Below are 16195 nucleotides of genomic sequence, written 5' to 3'. Positions count from 1 at the left end.
AGCGCCGGGACCCGCGGCCGCGGGGGCGCAGAGTGGGCGGCGGGGAGAGGCGGCGGCAGCGCCTGCGAGGCCGAGGGGAGGTCGCCGGCGGCGCCTCCAGCGCCCGGAGACCCGGTGCGCAGCGCAGCTCGGCCGCGGGACGCGGCGCCCGGAGTCCCGGCAGCGCCTGCCCTCCCTCCCGCGTCGCCCGCCAGCGCCCGCGCCCGCTCCGCCAGTGACTTCAGCTCAGCTCCACCCCCGCGCGGCGGCGGCTCGCTCCGTCCGGACCCGCGCTCGGCACAAGCCCAGCCCGGGCAAGCGGCCGCCACCTGCCCGGCGCCGCCTCCGCCCGCCCCCACCGCGGCGCAACTTGGATGGAGTTGGGGTCCTGAGCGCCGGCCCCCCACAGCCGCCAGCGCAGAGCTCGTGCCGCCACCTTCGTTCTGGGACCCCTCTCTCCGCTGCTCTTCGCTCCCGCGATGGGAAAAGTTGGCGCCGGCGGCGGCTCCCAAGCCCGGCTGAGCGCGCTCCTCGCCGGCGCGGGGCTCTTGATCCTCTGCGCCCCGGGCGTCTGCGGCGGCGGCTCCTGCTGCCCCTCGCCGCACCCCAGCTCCGCTCCACGCTCGGCCTCGACCCCTAGGGGCTTTTCCCACCAGGGGCGGCCAGGCAGGGCTCCTGCCACGCCCCTGCCCCTCGTAGTGCGTCCCCTGTTCTCAGTGGCCCCCGGGGACCGAGCGCTATCCCTGGAGCGGGCTCGGGGCACTGGGGCATCCATGGCGGTTGCTGCACGCTCCGGCCGGAGGAGACGGAGCGGAGCGGATCAGGAGAAGGCAGAACGGGGAGAGGGCGCGAGTCGGAGCCCCCGGGGAGTGCTAAGAGATGGAGGGCAGCAGGAGCCTGGGACTCGGGAGCGGGACCCGGACAAAGCCACCCGCTTCCGGATGGAGGAGCTGAGACTGACCAGCACCACGTTTGCGCTGACGGGAGACTCAGCACACAACCAAGCCATGGTCCACTGGTCTGGCCACAACAGCAGCGTGAGTAGAATGGGACTGAGGGTAAAGGGGTGGAAAGATGGAAAGGGTTAAAGTCGGCTGTGTGATCTGATGGAGAATTGGGGGGAAATAGGGTTTCTGGACATGGGAGATGCTGCAAACTGGTCTCTGCCCACTTCCCCCAAGAGTTAACATCACCTACTAGGAGACCAACCTCCCCATCTCTCCCACCAACACCATCAGAGTCCTCTCCAAATGCCACAGCTTCAAACTGAGGAGTCAAATCCCTATTTCCTGTTGCCTTGGTCGCATTGGTGTGTGGAACTGAAGACCAGGTAAACAGAGGGGTTAAAGTTCTCCTAATACAGAGATGAAAGGGTTAAATTTCCAGGCAAGCTGACATCCCCTCAAGTGACTTTCCCTTTACTTGCCAGACCTATGTACTGGCTCAAAGAAGATTAAGAAGACCCATATATGTAGGCGTTTTATTTTATTTTATTTTAATTTCATGCGGAGCTCCTAACCCCTTCTTCTCCACAAGGGAGAACTGCAGTGGAGAGTATATAAGGTGTTCTTTAGTGTATCCTCTGCTTTAGGGACCAAGTGGATGCAAGTTTCAGGGCAGGAACTCTCCAGCATCTTCTAACAGCGCTAAGCGAGGGTGTTTTGAGAACTGGGGCTTTCCAGCCCGTGAATGAGCGGTTGTTCTCTGGCATGGTCAGTCCCAGGAAGATCAGATATATCCCAGTGACAACAACTCCCTGTTCTCCCCCATTGCCTGACCTCCTCTAATGAAGAGCACAAATAAAGACTTAACATTCCCTTTATGAAGGCAGGAAAGGGATTGCTCAATTCCAGGAGGCTGGATTCCAGGGGACTTAGGATGCAAGTCCATGAGCTTTGGTCCTATCAGGAAAGGTTTTAGATTTTCAGAAAAGCTTGCATGTCTGCAATCTGAGGGAGCTATTCCTGTTTAAATTGAACCTAGAAACTTCAGTGAGTTGAAATAGTAGAGAACCAGCTTTGATTGTAATAACTAAAAGTGATTTTAAAGTGTGGAAACTTCTCCAGACATAGACAAGAACATAACAACCAAGGATGGGTAAAATGGGGGAAAAAAATTTCAAGTTTTACAGCTTCAACCAGGTAATTGAGATTGTAGTGTTTGTAATATGCACAATTTACGCAGTCTGGAACCTTTCAAAACGTTTTCTGTTGTGATGTAATTCCCAGAAACCTTCCCAGAGAAGTGCCACTTTAGTGAGTTGTGCTCATTGTCAGCTTTTTAATGAGAGTTGTGAACATTTTAAAATACTAATCTGTCATCATGAATTCCTTGGGTACACAGATATAAATTGTATTAAGGCACATCATGATAGATAATATTTAGCATTGATGTATCTGTCCTGAGAGTAGTAGCAGGGTTTTCCCTACAATTCCTCCTTCATGACAGAGTCTGTGATTTTATATGGTTCTCAGGAGTGGTTTGATCAAATAAATGAAGCTGAAATTCTTTCCATTCAAGTTCTGGAGACCCTTGCCCTCATTCCTTACCTTAACCATTATATCTTTCATATCATAGCCACTAAAATTAATCCTCTAATTTGAACTCGAATCTTCTTAAACTGATTGAATAACTTTCACACTGCTTTAAGTGATTAACTCAAAGCTTCTGGCTTTAAGGGGAGATTTGAAACACATCAAACATGTTAGCTCTTGTTGTATTAAGAAGTAAAAGACTTTGGACTCAGAATGTTTCTGGCTTTTAATGTAATTCAAGCTGTAAAATATCACTCACCCATTAGACCTCTTCTTTTAGCTCATCTCTTGAAAGATCTTGGAAAGAAAGAGAAAAGTAGAATACATCTTTGGCAAATTTTTAACCTCCGTTTAGGAAATGGTGCCAAGCACTGCCAGCATTAAAAAATAATAATAAATGGTGCTTATAATTCTAGTAGGGCTTATTAGGTTCAGGGCATTGAACATGCAGGCAGGTCTGAGATAACGTAGGAAATGAGGTGATGAGTGTTAAAGTTTTGATCACTCAAATCATGTTAACTAATGAGGTGAGATTTCTGCCCCCTGAAGTCTCTTATTCCATAAAGACCTCTGCTGACCCAGTCTCTGCTCTGGTCATCACACACAAAGGTGTTTCTTCTTTTTCTTTTTTAAGTATATACATACAGATAGTGGAGAAAGAGAAATAGTCTTTATCTATGTCCTCCAAAACAAAGCCAGTCCTACGTATCTGGACCAGACTCAGAGAAAGTTTAAAATATTTTTTAAAGGGAAAGAAAGCATAAATAAACTTTTTTTTTTTGGCCGTTTTGTAGAATGCAAAGCAGAGTGGAGACCTGAATTCTAGTTCTGCTTATTTGTGGTTTGACCGAGGCAAGTTGAGTGTCCGCTGAATGTGGATTTTTTCATCTCTAAAGTGGGGGCTATGCCGGTCAGATTAACTACAGAGAATTAGGAGCCAGGCTATACATAAGAGGGCAGTGTGACTTTACAGCCTCATACACTTGTTTGGAACTCTCAACAGCACTTCACTTTACCCCAGGGTGGGAAATCCACTAATTTAAACCCGAGGGCCAGATTGGAGTGGTGGAGGGGCATGGGGGACTCTTATCTTTTCACATTTAGATGTCCTCCCCTATAAATCTGCCCCCAGACCCATTCAGGACCACAGGCAGTGCACATCCTGTGAACCCTTCTCACCTTTAGCAAAAAGCCTTTGCTATGAAGAGTCTCTGATTATGACAACACCTGCATTCAAGGTGCAAATGCATGGTAATTATAGGCTGCTTGTCAATCTGGTGAGGAATTCTGGATGGTTCACTCACCTCCTTCCCTTCACTTTCCTGCCCCCTCAGCTGTTGGACTTGAGCAGTTGTATAAAGACATGTCTGTTTTGCCTCGTCTGTGGGTGTGATGTGATTCCTCTGTACTGCAGTCTCGATTGATGGAAACTGTTGCTAGAGTTGGTGGAACACCTGGGGGGATCTTCTGGCATGAAAGGTGCTGGGTATGAATCATTTGTCATGAGCTTGGTGTCGTAAGCAAGAACATATTGTTCCCACCCTACTCATCCCAGGCATGCTGTGCCCTGATCTAAATTTATATAGTAATCCTTAGAGTGTTAAAATATATATTTGCCTTTATATGTATGCATAATGGTGTATGTGTTTATTCCTTATTTCCAAGGGATTTTAAAGTGCTGTAGCATTAATCTTTATAAAATCCTTTGTAGGTAGTAAGTAGGTGACGGGTGTTAATATCTCTTTTTCATATTTTTATGCCGGAGTTAAGTTTAGTATTTCAATTCACCACTCTGCCCCTTTCTCACTGGCAATTGTATTACAAGATTTGTTAACAGAGGGTTTTACTTGACTTCTATTTTTCCATGATGACATCTTTAATGTTACATTTCTCATAGCACATGATGGACTGCTTGATTTCTGTGTACCTCTTTGCTTCTAGTTGTTCTGGGATTTGACATTTACCATCCAACATTAGTGAATAAATTGAGTCCCAATCTGGGCCAACTTTTGGGGTAGATGCTTTACATTCATCATCTCACTTAATTTTTCACAGAAATGTCATGTGTAGGTGTTATTATTGTCATTACATACAGGAGGAAACTGAGGTTCCAAGAGGCTAAATGAATTGCCAAATAGACACAGGAGGTCAGTGGCAGAACAGAGACTGTCACCCAAAGTGATCCTATTCCCAGACTGCACAGAAGGGCTTGTTCAATGGACTTTAAAGTAGGACGGAAAAACTCAGACCTTTTGGAGTTTATATTTTAGATAATCCTATCTTGAGTTGATTTCTGATGATGGTGGAGGAGGACGTACTCTTAGCTGGAAGCTCCATCTCCTTGTAGAAAAGCGAGGACATTAACATGTGCCTGTCACATTGCACCCTTTACCTTAAGTAGTGCTTTGGTTGTTCTCTCATCCACCCACCTCTTCATCTTCAGTGAGACATGGAATCTGCACCTGGTGATTCAGTGAGCAAGAGGTAACCTGCGATCATTCAGCTTTCAGCTCAGTTGTTCCTCAGGAATAGATTCCTTTTCTAATTTAATGGCAAATCTGATATTATAGACACACTGGCTGTGAATGCTTGACTTGGCTATACATTTTGATACAGTTTTTTTTTTTCGGTGGGGAGGAGCTGACCTTTTAAAAAGTAAAATGATGAAAGATTTTAGCTTTCTCTAGCAAGTCCACGTAATTCCTTCTCTCAGTACTTAATGCTATATGAATGCTAATGTGGTGTGATTTGGAAGGCAATGGGTTTGAAATCAAACAGATTTGAGTTTGAATCTTAGTTGTCCTGCTAAATCAGCACGTTGCCTTGAGTAAGTCACTTAAATTCTTTGAGCCTGAGTCTCCCCATCTAAAATATGGGGATAGTATATCTTTCGGAGGTTTTTTCCTCAGGAGGCGACATCGTGGATACAAAGTGCTTTATTCCTAGTAAATGCTCAATAAATGCTACTTACTCATGGGAAGAAAGATTTCTCTACTGGGAATTAAGAATTGTGGGTTATAATACTGGCTGTATACAAAAATTAGATACGTAGTCATAGCATGTTGAAATGTTGTAGCCTCAATTTCATCCTCTGTAAAATGGCACTAATGGACTAAAATCCATTACAGGTCAAAACTAATTTAATACTTTGTTCATACAGATACTGGATACCTGCTGCATTTACTAAGTAAAGTGCACTAGGAGTGTTGGGGATGTAGAAATGACATAATGACCTATACCCTTGACCTGTAAGGGAACAAACCTTTTATTTCACAAGGTTCTTCCTTTTTCCTCAGTTCATATGCATATCTGTTTAGGGGAAATCAAGTAATGTGAGATCCCAGCAGGCCTTCATTTCAATCTGTGCACATGGGTTTGCAGCAAAACATAGTTTATTGGGTTTATTGTATTACATCTTCATGTTAAGGAACTTGCTAACTTTGGACCCCCCTTCCCCCCCAAAAAAATGCCTCATGTGAAATTGGAAAGTAAAAATCTCTTAGTTATTTAATGAGATTTTCTAGAGAACATTGACATGAATGTTGACTGTCAGAACTACATCCACATTTTTTTAAAGAGAGACCTTAGAAGTTCATAGGATAGGGCAAAAAAGCAGATACATGAATCTCATTTATATATGAAAATAATAATTGCTCCCATTTAGGAGTAATTGCTATGTGCCAAAATTATGCCAAGAGCCTTACGCAAATTATTGTGTTTAGTTTTAATTCAACAAATATTTATTGAGCTCCTAATATTTGTCATTCACTGGCATAGGGATATTTGTGAAGTGCTACACAAGATGAAAAGAAATAATTCCTGCCCTCAATGAGCTCTCGGTCTTGTACCCAAAGAAACTTCTTAAGAGACAGCAGGAGATGTACGTTCTCTGAGGACAGAACATGCTGTAGGAAGTCAGGGGAGAGTTGGGCATCTTCTGGCTGGGATGGCCTTCAAGCTGGATTGTAGAGTAGGTACTTCAGAGAAACCTTGAAATGTAGAGAAGATTGTAAGTAACAGTTGGAGATTATTACAAGGATATTTTTAGCTGAATGGATGTCATAACCAAAGGTCAAGGGAAGAGATGTAAACATTCCTCTTTATATCCAGGAATTTAAATTACTTGATTTAAAAACTATGTTTAACGAAAGTTTTAACCTTAGGAATGATTGAAAAATATGAGTTAAGCAAAAAATATACACATCAATCTTGTAGTAAATTTGGGTACATTCCAAGCCCAGTAGGAAAATAAAAACCTTTATGGTCATTGAGAGACATGACTGACCTTATTTGCACATTAAATCTTAGCTGGAGTCATCATTGTTTCATTTTTACCTTGATACTTTCCACACAGAGTTTTCACAAAAGGACTTTCTTTTGTTTAAGTTATTGGTGAGAGAGATCACTGTTCAGGCTGCCTTGAGGATAAATTAATTTTTCTCCTTGCCAGCTTATATTCAGCCACTAAATGTATGTAAAATATTTGTCCTGTTTTTGTGTATGTCTTAATTACTGTCCCTTATTTTGTGGCTAAAAGGTGTAGAGAAGGCACTTGTGTCTCCTGGAGGGGAAACTGGCCAAACAGCATCTCTGCAGTGGCCAAAGGGGATGGCAGAGAAGAGATGTGTTCATTGCGAGGTGAGGCCAGGCTCCATAAAAGTGCAGTGGTTCCTGTCAAGGAGCTCAAACTCTGCTCCGATTGTACGGATGGAGTAAGCAAACAGTTGGCAAGAAGCAAAGGTGGAATCTTAGAGTGCAACGTTTAGAATGAAAGAACAGAGCTTATCCTAGAATGTAGATAGGAGTAAAAAAAGGACGTGGATGCTCTGTCGGAAATCCTATGTGAGATTTTACACACATATGAAAGATATTGTGTCTATTTCTATAGCACTCCTGAATGTTTTTATACCACTTTAGATCAGTTATAGCCCTTTTTTCTCTTTGCAAAATGCTTCAGTTTTCAAAGATCGACACATTACTTCCATTACTTAAGGTATTTTTTCTCACCACGATTCTATAAGATAGGAAAGACAAATATCATCTACACTCTCAGATAAAAAAAACAAGATGTTCCTATTAAGTAGGTCAGTTAGTGGAAGAAGAAGGTCAAATAACATTTGGTCACACTGTAGGAGTGATTCTTGGTTTGACCCACTGCTGGCTTGCCACAGGCAAGAGTTAGAACACAGCTGCACCCTAGCCTTGTGGTTTGTCTGAAGCCCATCACAGGCAAGAGTTAGAACACAGCTGCTCCCTAGCCTTGTAGTTTGTCTGAAGCCCATCACAGGCAAGAGTTAGAACACAGCTGCACCCTAGCCTTGTAGTTTGTCTGAAGCCCATGCACCTGTATCCTTAAGGTTTTCCATTGTGGGAAGAAGAGTGAATATTGGCTGTAGAGCTCCTGAGTTCCAGGTTCAGCTTTTCAAGTTGTTTGTCTTGGGCTTCAAAACAAGGAGCCTCATGAAAAGTCATGCTCTTGGCATTGTTTAAACCACTGAAATTACCTTAAAGAGTGATGATGGGACCTTCTGGAAGTGAGGTTCCCAGTAATAACCTGTCTGCCATATGTATTCCACTGCTAATAGACTTCAGAGATGAGACTACTCATGACTGGGTTTATTGCAATAGCGGCTTGGGGTAGAAGGGAGGTATAGCCATCTCTTCCTCTCTTTGATTTTCTTATGCAGATAAAAGCTAGTTAAAAATAATATTAAAGGTGGTCTCACTACGTCTTCCCATATAGGAAACCTAGAGTGTCAATCAACATTTTGGAGCAGCAGTAGTCAAACTGAAGGACTGCCTGTTGATGCTAATGGGTTTTACTTGCTCAAGGATTATAACTGAGTTACCAGATGTAGCTTTTTCTACTTCTAACTGTTGGGGTGAGAGTGGAAGAAGAGAGCAAAGGAAAGTTTGCTGAATATCAGGGACAACTCTATCTACATAAGACATATTGATTATATCAGAAGTCTCCTTTAACAAAAATAATATAAATAACCACCAATTTAGTGAACAGCTTCTCTGGAAATATGATCTGGAACATCACCACATGATTTCACTTGATTATCACGACACCTTTATGAACTACGTACTGTTATCCTCATTCTAAAGCTGTAGAAGTCAAGCTTAAACAACTTGCTCAAGGTTACCCAGCTAGCAGGTGGCAGAGCTGGGATTTGATTTTTGCCCTTTCTGGAACCAAAGCTCTTTGTGCTATAAATCATGCTTTGTATGGGTTTATTTTTGTATAAGTTTATTTTTGAATGGGTTTATTTCTGAGTTTCTTTGGAAAGAACTCCACAATTCAGTGCAGATGGGGTGGTAGGGGAGCTCTTTATATGAATGACATATCTTGGGGGGTCTTCCTTTCACTTCACCCCATTGTCAGGTCACTGACACTTTACTTGGCAATAACCCGCTCCATGATGCTGTTTGGGTTGAAGCCCTCACCTGTGTCCATCCCCACAAGTGGCTTCTGGGGGTTATTAATGTGTGTCATCTTGTTATCCTGGGAAGATGTGTGGGATGTGCTGTTTGGTTTCTCCCTGCTGACTAATGACCCTACAGTGACAGTGTGCACAACGTGTACACTTTTTAAAGAAAGTGCTAATAAGAATCATGTTATCAGACAACCAACTAATCATGTTGTGCCCTGGAACCAATAGATTGACGCCTCTAGTCATCTTTCCCTAACCAGAGTAACAGGAGCTGTTGAGACACAAAATCATGGGCCATCAATCCTTCTGCTGCAGGGCCTTTGGTGGTTTGGGGCCGGGTGGTGGATGGGTCGGTGGGGCAGATTAAAAGCGAAAGATCTTCCCCTTATCTCAGCAATTCCCACTGTACATTCTTGATTATAATCATTAAAGGGAAAAAGGCTATTTTGGGCACATTCAGCACCCTGGTTTAGAAATTTATCATGTGCAGCCCTGCTCGCCCTGACTTGCATTTTGCTGAAATGGTAGAAGAATTCTTAACTGGGCAGGCATGGGCTCACTCATAGGTGCCTGGGGCAGTGTTTCTCAAAGTACTGTCCTCATGGGTCCTGCTTTTGAATGACCTGATGGGGAGAAGGGACCAGGCATCTATATTTTACAAACTCCCTAGGAGATTCTTGGGAACACTCAAGTTTGAAAATCATTTCCTTAAGATTTGCACATGAGTTTAAGAGTCCATGGACTTCTTCCATTGTCTGCATAATTTTGTGTTAATATGCTTTAATTTTTCCCATGAAGAGATGCAGTCCACAGTGTTTATCAGCTTCTCAATAGAAACCATGACCCCCTACAGTGAAGACCTATTGGAATGTAAGGCTCTATAAATCACACAGGACAGTACAGTGTAGCCCAGGTGAAATTTCTGTCATTCAATGTATACTAAAAAATTATCTTCCATGGCTGTCCACATAACCACAATATGTCTTAAATGGCAGAAAGTACACATGATTTAAAATATAATTTATTGGGTTAATTGCCGACTCTACTATCCACTAGATATGTGAACTTGTGCAATTAACTTTATCTCTGTCTTTAGTTCCCTCATCTGTAAAATGAGGGTACTAATGGTATATTTCTTATATGGTGGCTTGATGATTAACAGAGATAGTATAACTTCTTAACAGAAATTAACAGAGATAATATAACTTCTTAACGGAACATCTGGCATATACTAAATCATCAATAAGGGTTAGCTGTTATTACAGTTTCATTGATATTAATAGTGCTCCAGTATGGCCTATTAAAAGATGTTTGTAATATGACATTCATGATGTTGTTTCTGTTTCTGCATTTAGGTTCTCTCGGTCCAGTTCTATTTTCTTAAATTGAAGATTGGGGCACTGTCCTAATCTTCTTAGCATCCCTGTCAGCAACTCTAGCTGTTTCCACTTAATATTTGCTTACTAAATATTTCCAATTTTATTTGCTATTTCCTTGGGAAAGTGTTTTTTTTTCATGTGTTGTGAACAACCTATAACTTTGTACCTGTGTGTTGTAGAATAATGAAGTCATTAAAAGGTTGATTATAAAAACATATATTTTTAAGTGGGAAACTGTCCACAAAATACCAGAATAAAAGATTACAAAATAGTACAAACATAAACCCATTAAGTCAGAGTTTTTGTCTATGTTGTTCTCTCATATATCCCAAGTCCCTAGAAATATACCTGGAGGCCAGGCGTGGTGGCTCACGCCTGTAATCCCAACACTTTGGGAGGCTGAGGCGGGCAGATCACTTGAGGTCAGGAGTTTGAAGCCAGCCTGGCCAACATGGAGAAACCCCATCTCTATTAAAATACAAAAATTAGCCAAGTGGGTGTCTGTAGTCCCAGCTACTTGGGAGGCTGAGGCAGGAGAATTGCTTGAACCTGGGAGGTGGAGGTTGCAGTGAGCCAAGATGGTGCCACTGCACTCCAGCCTAGGTGACAGAGCAAGACTCCATCTCAAAAAAAAAAAAAAAAAAAAAGAAAAGAAAAGAAATATACTGGAAATAGTAAGGGTTTGAAACAGTTTTTTTCAATTATTATATACTGTAAAATTAAACTTTTGTGGGAAAAAAAGCAGGAAAGGATATGACTCAAAATGTTTGCCAGTGATAATGATGAATGTTAGGATTCTATGCAAGGTTTCTTGTGTTCATTCTTTTTGTCATTTCTTAATAAATGTGTATTGCTTGAGTTATTTTTAAAAGTTATTTTAAAATGAAAATAAATGAAAGAGAGAGCAAACGAGTTTGTGAACTTGGCCTCATTAAAACTGAATTCCAGGCAACAACTGTACAAGAGCTCACATTCAAGTTGCCTGTTTCCCTTTTAATCACTATTGTTGGGAGACAGTCTGCTGTCCAGGCTTTTTGCAAAAGAGCAAGATCACTCTGTCTGTTTCCTGAGTATGCAGCAGCATGTGCTACCAGGCCTTTTGTTTATCATCGCCTTTGTTGATTCCAGAGAGAATGATCCATGGTAGTTTCACCAACCTGACTATATATCCCAGAAATTCCAGTGACCTCCATTCACCCAGTTAAACAATATATGTTTCAGTTTAAATCTCAATCTCTGTCTTTATTTTGGTCTCCATCTGCATATCATATAAGTACATATAAATATATACATAATAAATATGTGCGCTCTTATATGTCTGTATACATTCACAGCAACATAAGCACCAATGTACAACATTTAAGTCTCCACTCTTAAAAACGAAATATTAGTATCGTAAGGCCACAGTAAGGATGTTTACTGATTGTGAGCACTGATTGGAAAGAGAGCTCCAGAACAAGGAGAGATGGAAAAAAAAAACAGAGAGAAGGAGACAGAGAGACATAAATAACAGATATATGGAAGACAGAAAATGAATAAGAGAGAGAAGAAAAGGGAGAGGGAGAAAATGAAGGAGGGAGAGGGAAGGAGGGAGAAGGGAAGAGAAAGAACATAAGTTCATGACAAAGGCAGAGAGAGACAGAAGGAAAGCCAGAGAGCAGAGGCAGATTGAGAAGAGGAAGAAAAAGGAAAGATGAGAGACAAAGAGACACGGAGAGACCACAGGCAAAGAAAGTCATATTGGGAGACAAAGACAGAGCTGTGATGGAGGCATATAAACAAAGCAGGAGAATCATAAAAAGAGAGGAAGAGATGAAAATAAAAGGCAAAAGTGTCAGTGAGTGTATTAGTCCATTCTCATGCTGCTAATAAAGACATACCCATGACTGGGTGATTTTTAAAGGAAAGAGGTTTAATTGACTCACAGTTCGGTGTCGCCAGTGAGGCCTCCAGAAACTTACAATCATGGCAGAAGGGGAAGCAAACAGATCCTTCTTCATGTGACAGCAGAAGAGAGAGGTGCAGAGTGAAGTGGGGGGAAAGCCCCTTATAAAACCATCAGATCCCATGAGAGCTCACTCACTATTATGAGAACAGCATGGAGGTAGCCACTCCCATGATTCAGTTACCTCCCGCTAGGTCCCATGTGTGGGGTCCCCATCCAGGCTGCTTACATGGGCTGGCATTGAGTGTCTGTAGCTTTTCCAAATGCATGGAACAAGTTGTCGGTGGATCTACCATTCTGGGGTATGGAGGATAGTGGTTCTCTTCTCATAGCTCCACTAGACAGTGCCCCATGGGGACTTTGCATGGGGACCCCAAACCCACATTTCCCTTCTCCTCTGTCCTAGCAGAGGTTCTCCATGAGGGCTCCACCCCTGCAGCAAACTTCTGCCTGGACATCCAGGCATTTCTGTACATCCTCTGAAATCTAGGCAGAGGTTCACAAACCTCAGTTCTTGTCTTCTGCACACCCACAGGGCTAACACCATGTGAAAGCTGCCAAGGCTTAGGGTTTGCACTCTCTGAAGCAATGGCCTGAGCTGTACATTGGCCTCTTTTAGCCACAGCTGGAGCTGAAGCAGCTGGGATGCAGGGCACCATATCCTGAGGCTGCACAGAGCAGTGGGTTCTGGGCCTGGTCCACTAAAGCATTTTTCCCTCCTAGGCCTCTGGGTCTGTGATGGAAGGGCCTGCTGTGAAGGTCTCTGACATGCCCTGGAGACATTTTTCCCATTGTCTTTGTGATTAACATTTGGCTCCTTGTTACTTATGCCACTTTCTCCAGCAAGCTTGAATTTCTCCCCCCAGAATTTCTCTGCTCCCTCTTGAATGCTTTGCCACTTAGAAATTTCTTCCACCAGATACCCTAAATCATTTAACTCAAGTTCAAAGTTTCACAGATGTCTAGGGCAGGGGCAAAATGCCACCAGTCTCTTTGCATAGCAAGAATGATATGGTTTGGCTGTGTCTCCACCCAAATCTCCACTAGAATTGTATCTCCCAGAATTCCCACTTGTTGTGGGAGGGACCTAGGGTGAGGTAATGGAATCATGGGGGTTGGTCTTTCCTGTGCTATTCTCGTCATAGTTAATAAGTCTCATGGGATCTGATGGGTTTATCAGGGGTATCCACTTTTGCTTCTTCCTCATTTTCTCTCGCTGCCACCAAAAATGCCTTTTACCTCCCACCATCATTCTGAGATCTCCCCAGCCATGTGGAACTGTAAGTCCAATTAAACCTCTTTTTCTTCCCAGTCTCAGGTATGTCTTTATCAGCAGCATGAAAACAGACTAATACAAAGAGTGACCTTTACTCCAGTTTGCAACAAGTTTGTCATCTCTATCTGAGATCACCTCAGACTGGGCTTCATTGTCCATGTCACTATCAGCATTTTGGTTAAAGCCATTCAACTAGTTTATAGGAAGTTCCAAATTTTCCCACACCATCCTGTCTCTGAGCCCTCCAATTCTCTAGGAAGCTCCAAACTTCCCCAGATTTTCCTGTCTTCTTCTGAGCCTTCCAATTCTCTAGAAGTTCCAGACTTTCTAACATCCTCCTGTCTTCTTCTGAGCCCTCCAAACTGTTCCAGCCTCTGCCTGCTACCCAGTTCCAAAGTTGTTTCCACATTTTTGGGTATCTTTACAGCAGTGCCCCACTACTCAGTACTAATTTACTGTGTTGGTTCATTCTCATGCTGCTAATAAAGATATACCCGGGACTGGGCAATTTATAAAGGAAAGAGGTTTAATTGACTCACAGTTCAGCATGGCTGGGGAGGCCTCACGAAACTTACAATCATGGCTGAAGGGAATGCAAACACCTCCTTCTTCACATGGCAGCAGGGGAGAGAAGTGTAGAGTGAAGACGGGGAAAAGCCCCTTGTAAAACCATCAGTTCTCGTGAGAACTCACTATCACAAGAACAGCATGGAGGTAACTGCTCCCATGGTTCAGTTTTCTCCCACCAGTTCCCTCCCATGGCACGTGGGGATTATGTGAACTACAATTGAAGATGAGATTTGGATGGAGACACAGCCAAACCATATCAGTGAGTGAGAAGAACTTATAATCAAATCAAGGGCATAGAAGAACTGGTCCTAAGAAGACGGTGCCCTTCCAAAAGCACAGTGCTTCACTTGCCTTTTGCTTTGAGTGATTTTGCACCCAACCATGTCAGATGGTTAGCACAGGTAGCCACTCTTGCATGTGTGATGGCTTTGAAGCCATATGTTCATCAGATGGGTGTGGAGTGGAAGGGGTTCATGTAGTATTTATGCATTATTAAGAATCTCTTAAGAGTGATTTTGTTTTGGAAGTCGGACTGATGTTCTGAATGGTGGAAAGACAACTTTTAACCTTTCCTTTTATACCAGTTATGCTGTTCTGAATTTTTAGCATGGGCATGCGTTTCTTTAATAATAAAAATACTAAAACATGTTTGAAGTGGCTGTTGTGTCAGCACTGTGCTGAGCGCTGGGAATACAAAGATGAATAAGATCTGATCTTTACCCTTAAGGGTGCATATTCTGGTGGAAATAGACCCATAAACAATAAATTGCAATTTACTGTGATAAGTGCATAATAGCCATAATAGAGTTTTGTGCAAAGTGCTATGGGAGCAAAGATGACTGGGGGACACCTAATTTTGCCTGAGTGGGAGGTAAGGTTTTAAAGGGAAGTGACATTTAAGCTGGGTCTTTATACAAGATTAAAAATTTTGCAGACAGAATAGGGCGGGGTAGGAGAAAAGGTCATTAGTGCCTGTTTTTAATTCTTCATATCTTGGGTCTTGGGTTGATCTTAGGTTGTTAGCACAATCACCAAGCTGTGACTGGTTGAACACTTTCTTCATTGTCTCAATGTCTAAGATATTTGGAACCAAGGCTAACAGTGTTTTAAAATATCAGATTAGATTCCACATCTTAGAATGTTGTGTTCTTGTCCTCAAACTGGACAAAGGAATCTGATTTTCTCAGAGATAAATTGCTCCCCTAAATCTTCACCCAACCAACACACACAATCAAGAATGCGCATGCACGTGCACGTACACAAAACCATTTTAAAGCATCACTATCTTCTCTCTTCACAGTTAAATCTGATTAGCACAATGGTGATGGGATTTTTTTATTGGTTATTCTGTATGTTTCTGCTTTTAGAGCCTTAACAGTGGTTGTTTTTGGTATTTTCTTGGACATGCTTCTCAAATCAGTATTAGATACAAGTATATTGGGATGAATCGGATGGTTACCACGTATGATTAAAGCGCGATTTTTTTTTACAGCAGTAAGAAAATGCAATAGAATATTCCACTCCAGTGTTATCCAAACTTAGTTATGCCTTGCCAACTGGAGACAGTGTATGTACGCTAAATACATGGAAATGTCCCAGAAAGCAAAGTTAGCTTTTAATTGGTTGGCCCTTTCCGTTCTTCTTGTCTACCTTCTAAATAAAAGAAAAAAAGAACAGAAAGGATGAAACTGGGGCGGAAATGTATGTATAGTCAGAGACAGAGGGAGCTGTGCTCTCAGGGCTGGCTTACCAGCCAGTGAGTAGTTGAAGAGATACCTTCGTGGTCTTTCAGTTCCCTTCTTTCCTTGCACGTAAGTCTCAGCAGACTGCTGTTTGAGATGATGTTACAAGGTCCCGATCTGGTTTTAGGGTGTTGTGACTTTAGAAATTTTTGCCTAGCATTTTTTGCTAGGTAGTAGAGAATCAGTTTAGGAATTTCATTATTTTAAGACAAAAATTAGGTAAGAAAGAGCTTTTCAGCAGATCCCAAATATGCCCTGAGACAAATAAATGACTATCCCCAGAGAGTAGGAATTAGCTCCCTTCCAATCACCTAAGCCTTGGTTTAATGCCCT

The 16195-nt window shown here is 42.6% G+C and overlaps 1 protein-coding gene across 15 annotated transcripts in view, besides 1 other annotated feature; it reads left to right on the top strand.

Moving 5' to 3' along the window:
• Positions 1-16195, top strand: part of SORCS1 (sortilin related VPS10 domain containing receptor 1) — a 607476-nt gene that overhangs the window by 16154 nt on the left and 575127 nt on the right. For 14 of the 15 annotated variants that reach the window (XM_047424547.1, XM_017015615.3, XM_047424545.1 and 11 more), the window contains exon 1: positions 279-1016. The exons of the other annotated variant lie outside the window; for it this stretch is intronic. In XM_047424547.1, coding sequence (XP_047280503.1) covers positions 459-1016 — 558 coding nt within the window. In that variant the 5' untranslated portion in view covers positions 279-458. Of the gene's footprint in view, positions 1-278; positions 1017-16195 lie in introns of those variants that run through there. 15 annotated transcript variants of the gene reach the window in all.
• Positions 370-563: a silencer, noted in NCBI's record as "fragment chr10:108924180-108924373 (GRCh37/hg19 assembly coordinates)". NCBI's record gives its function as "represses an EF-1alpha promoter that drives an FKBP-Casp9 reporter gene in an ReSE screen in K562 erythroleukemia cells {active_cell/tissue: K562}" and the evidence as "EXISTENCE:reporter gene assay evidence [ECO:0000049][PMID:32094911]".

Source organism: Homo sapiens, chromosome 10 (assembly GCF_000001405.40).
Source record: "Homo sapiens chromosome 10, GRCh38.p14 Primary Assembly".
In the NCBI taxonomy this organism is placed as follows: domain Eukaryota; kingdom Metazoa; phylum Chordata; class Mammalia; order Primates; family Hominidae; genus Homo; species Homo sapiens.
Note: the sequence above shows the minus strand (reverse complement) of the source record. Positions and strands in the feature narration are given on the sequence as shown.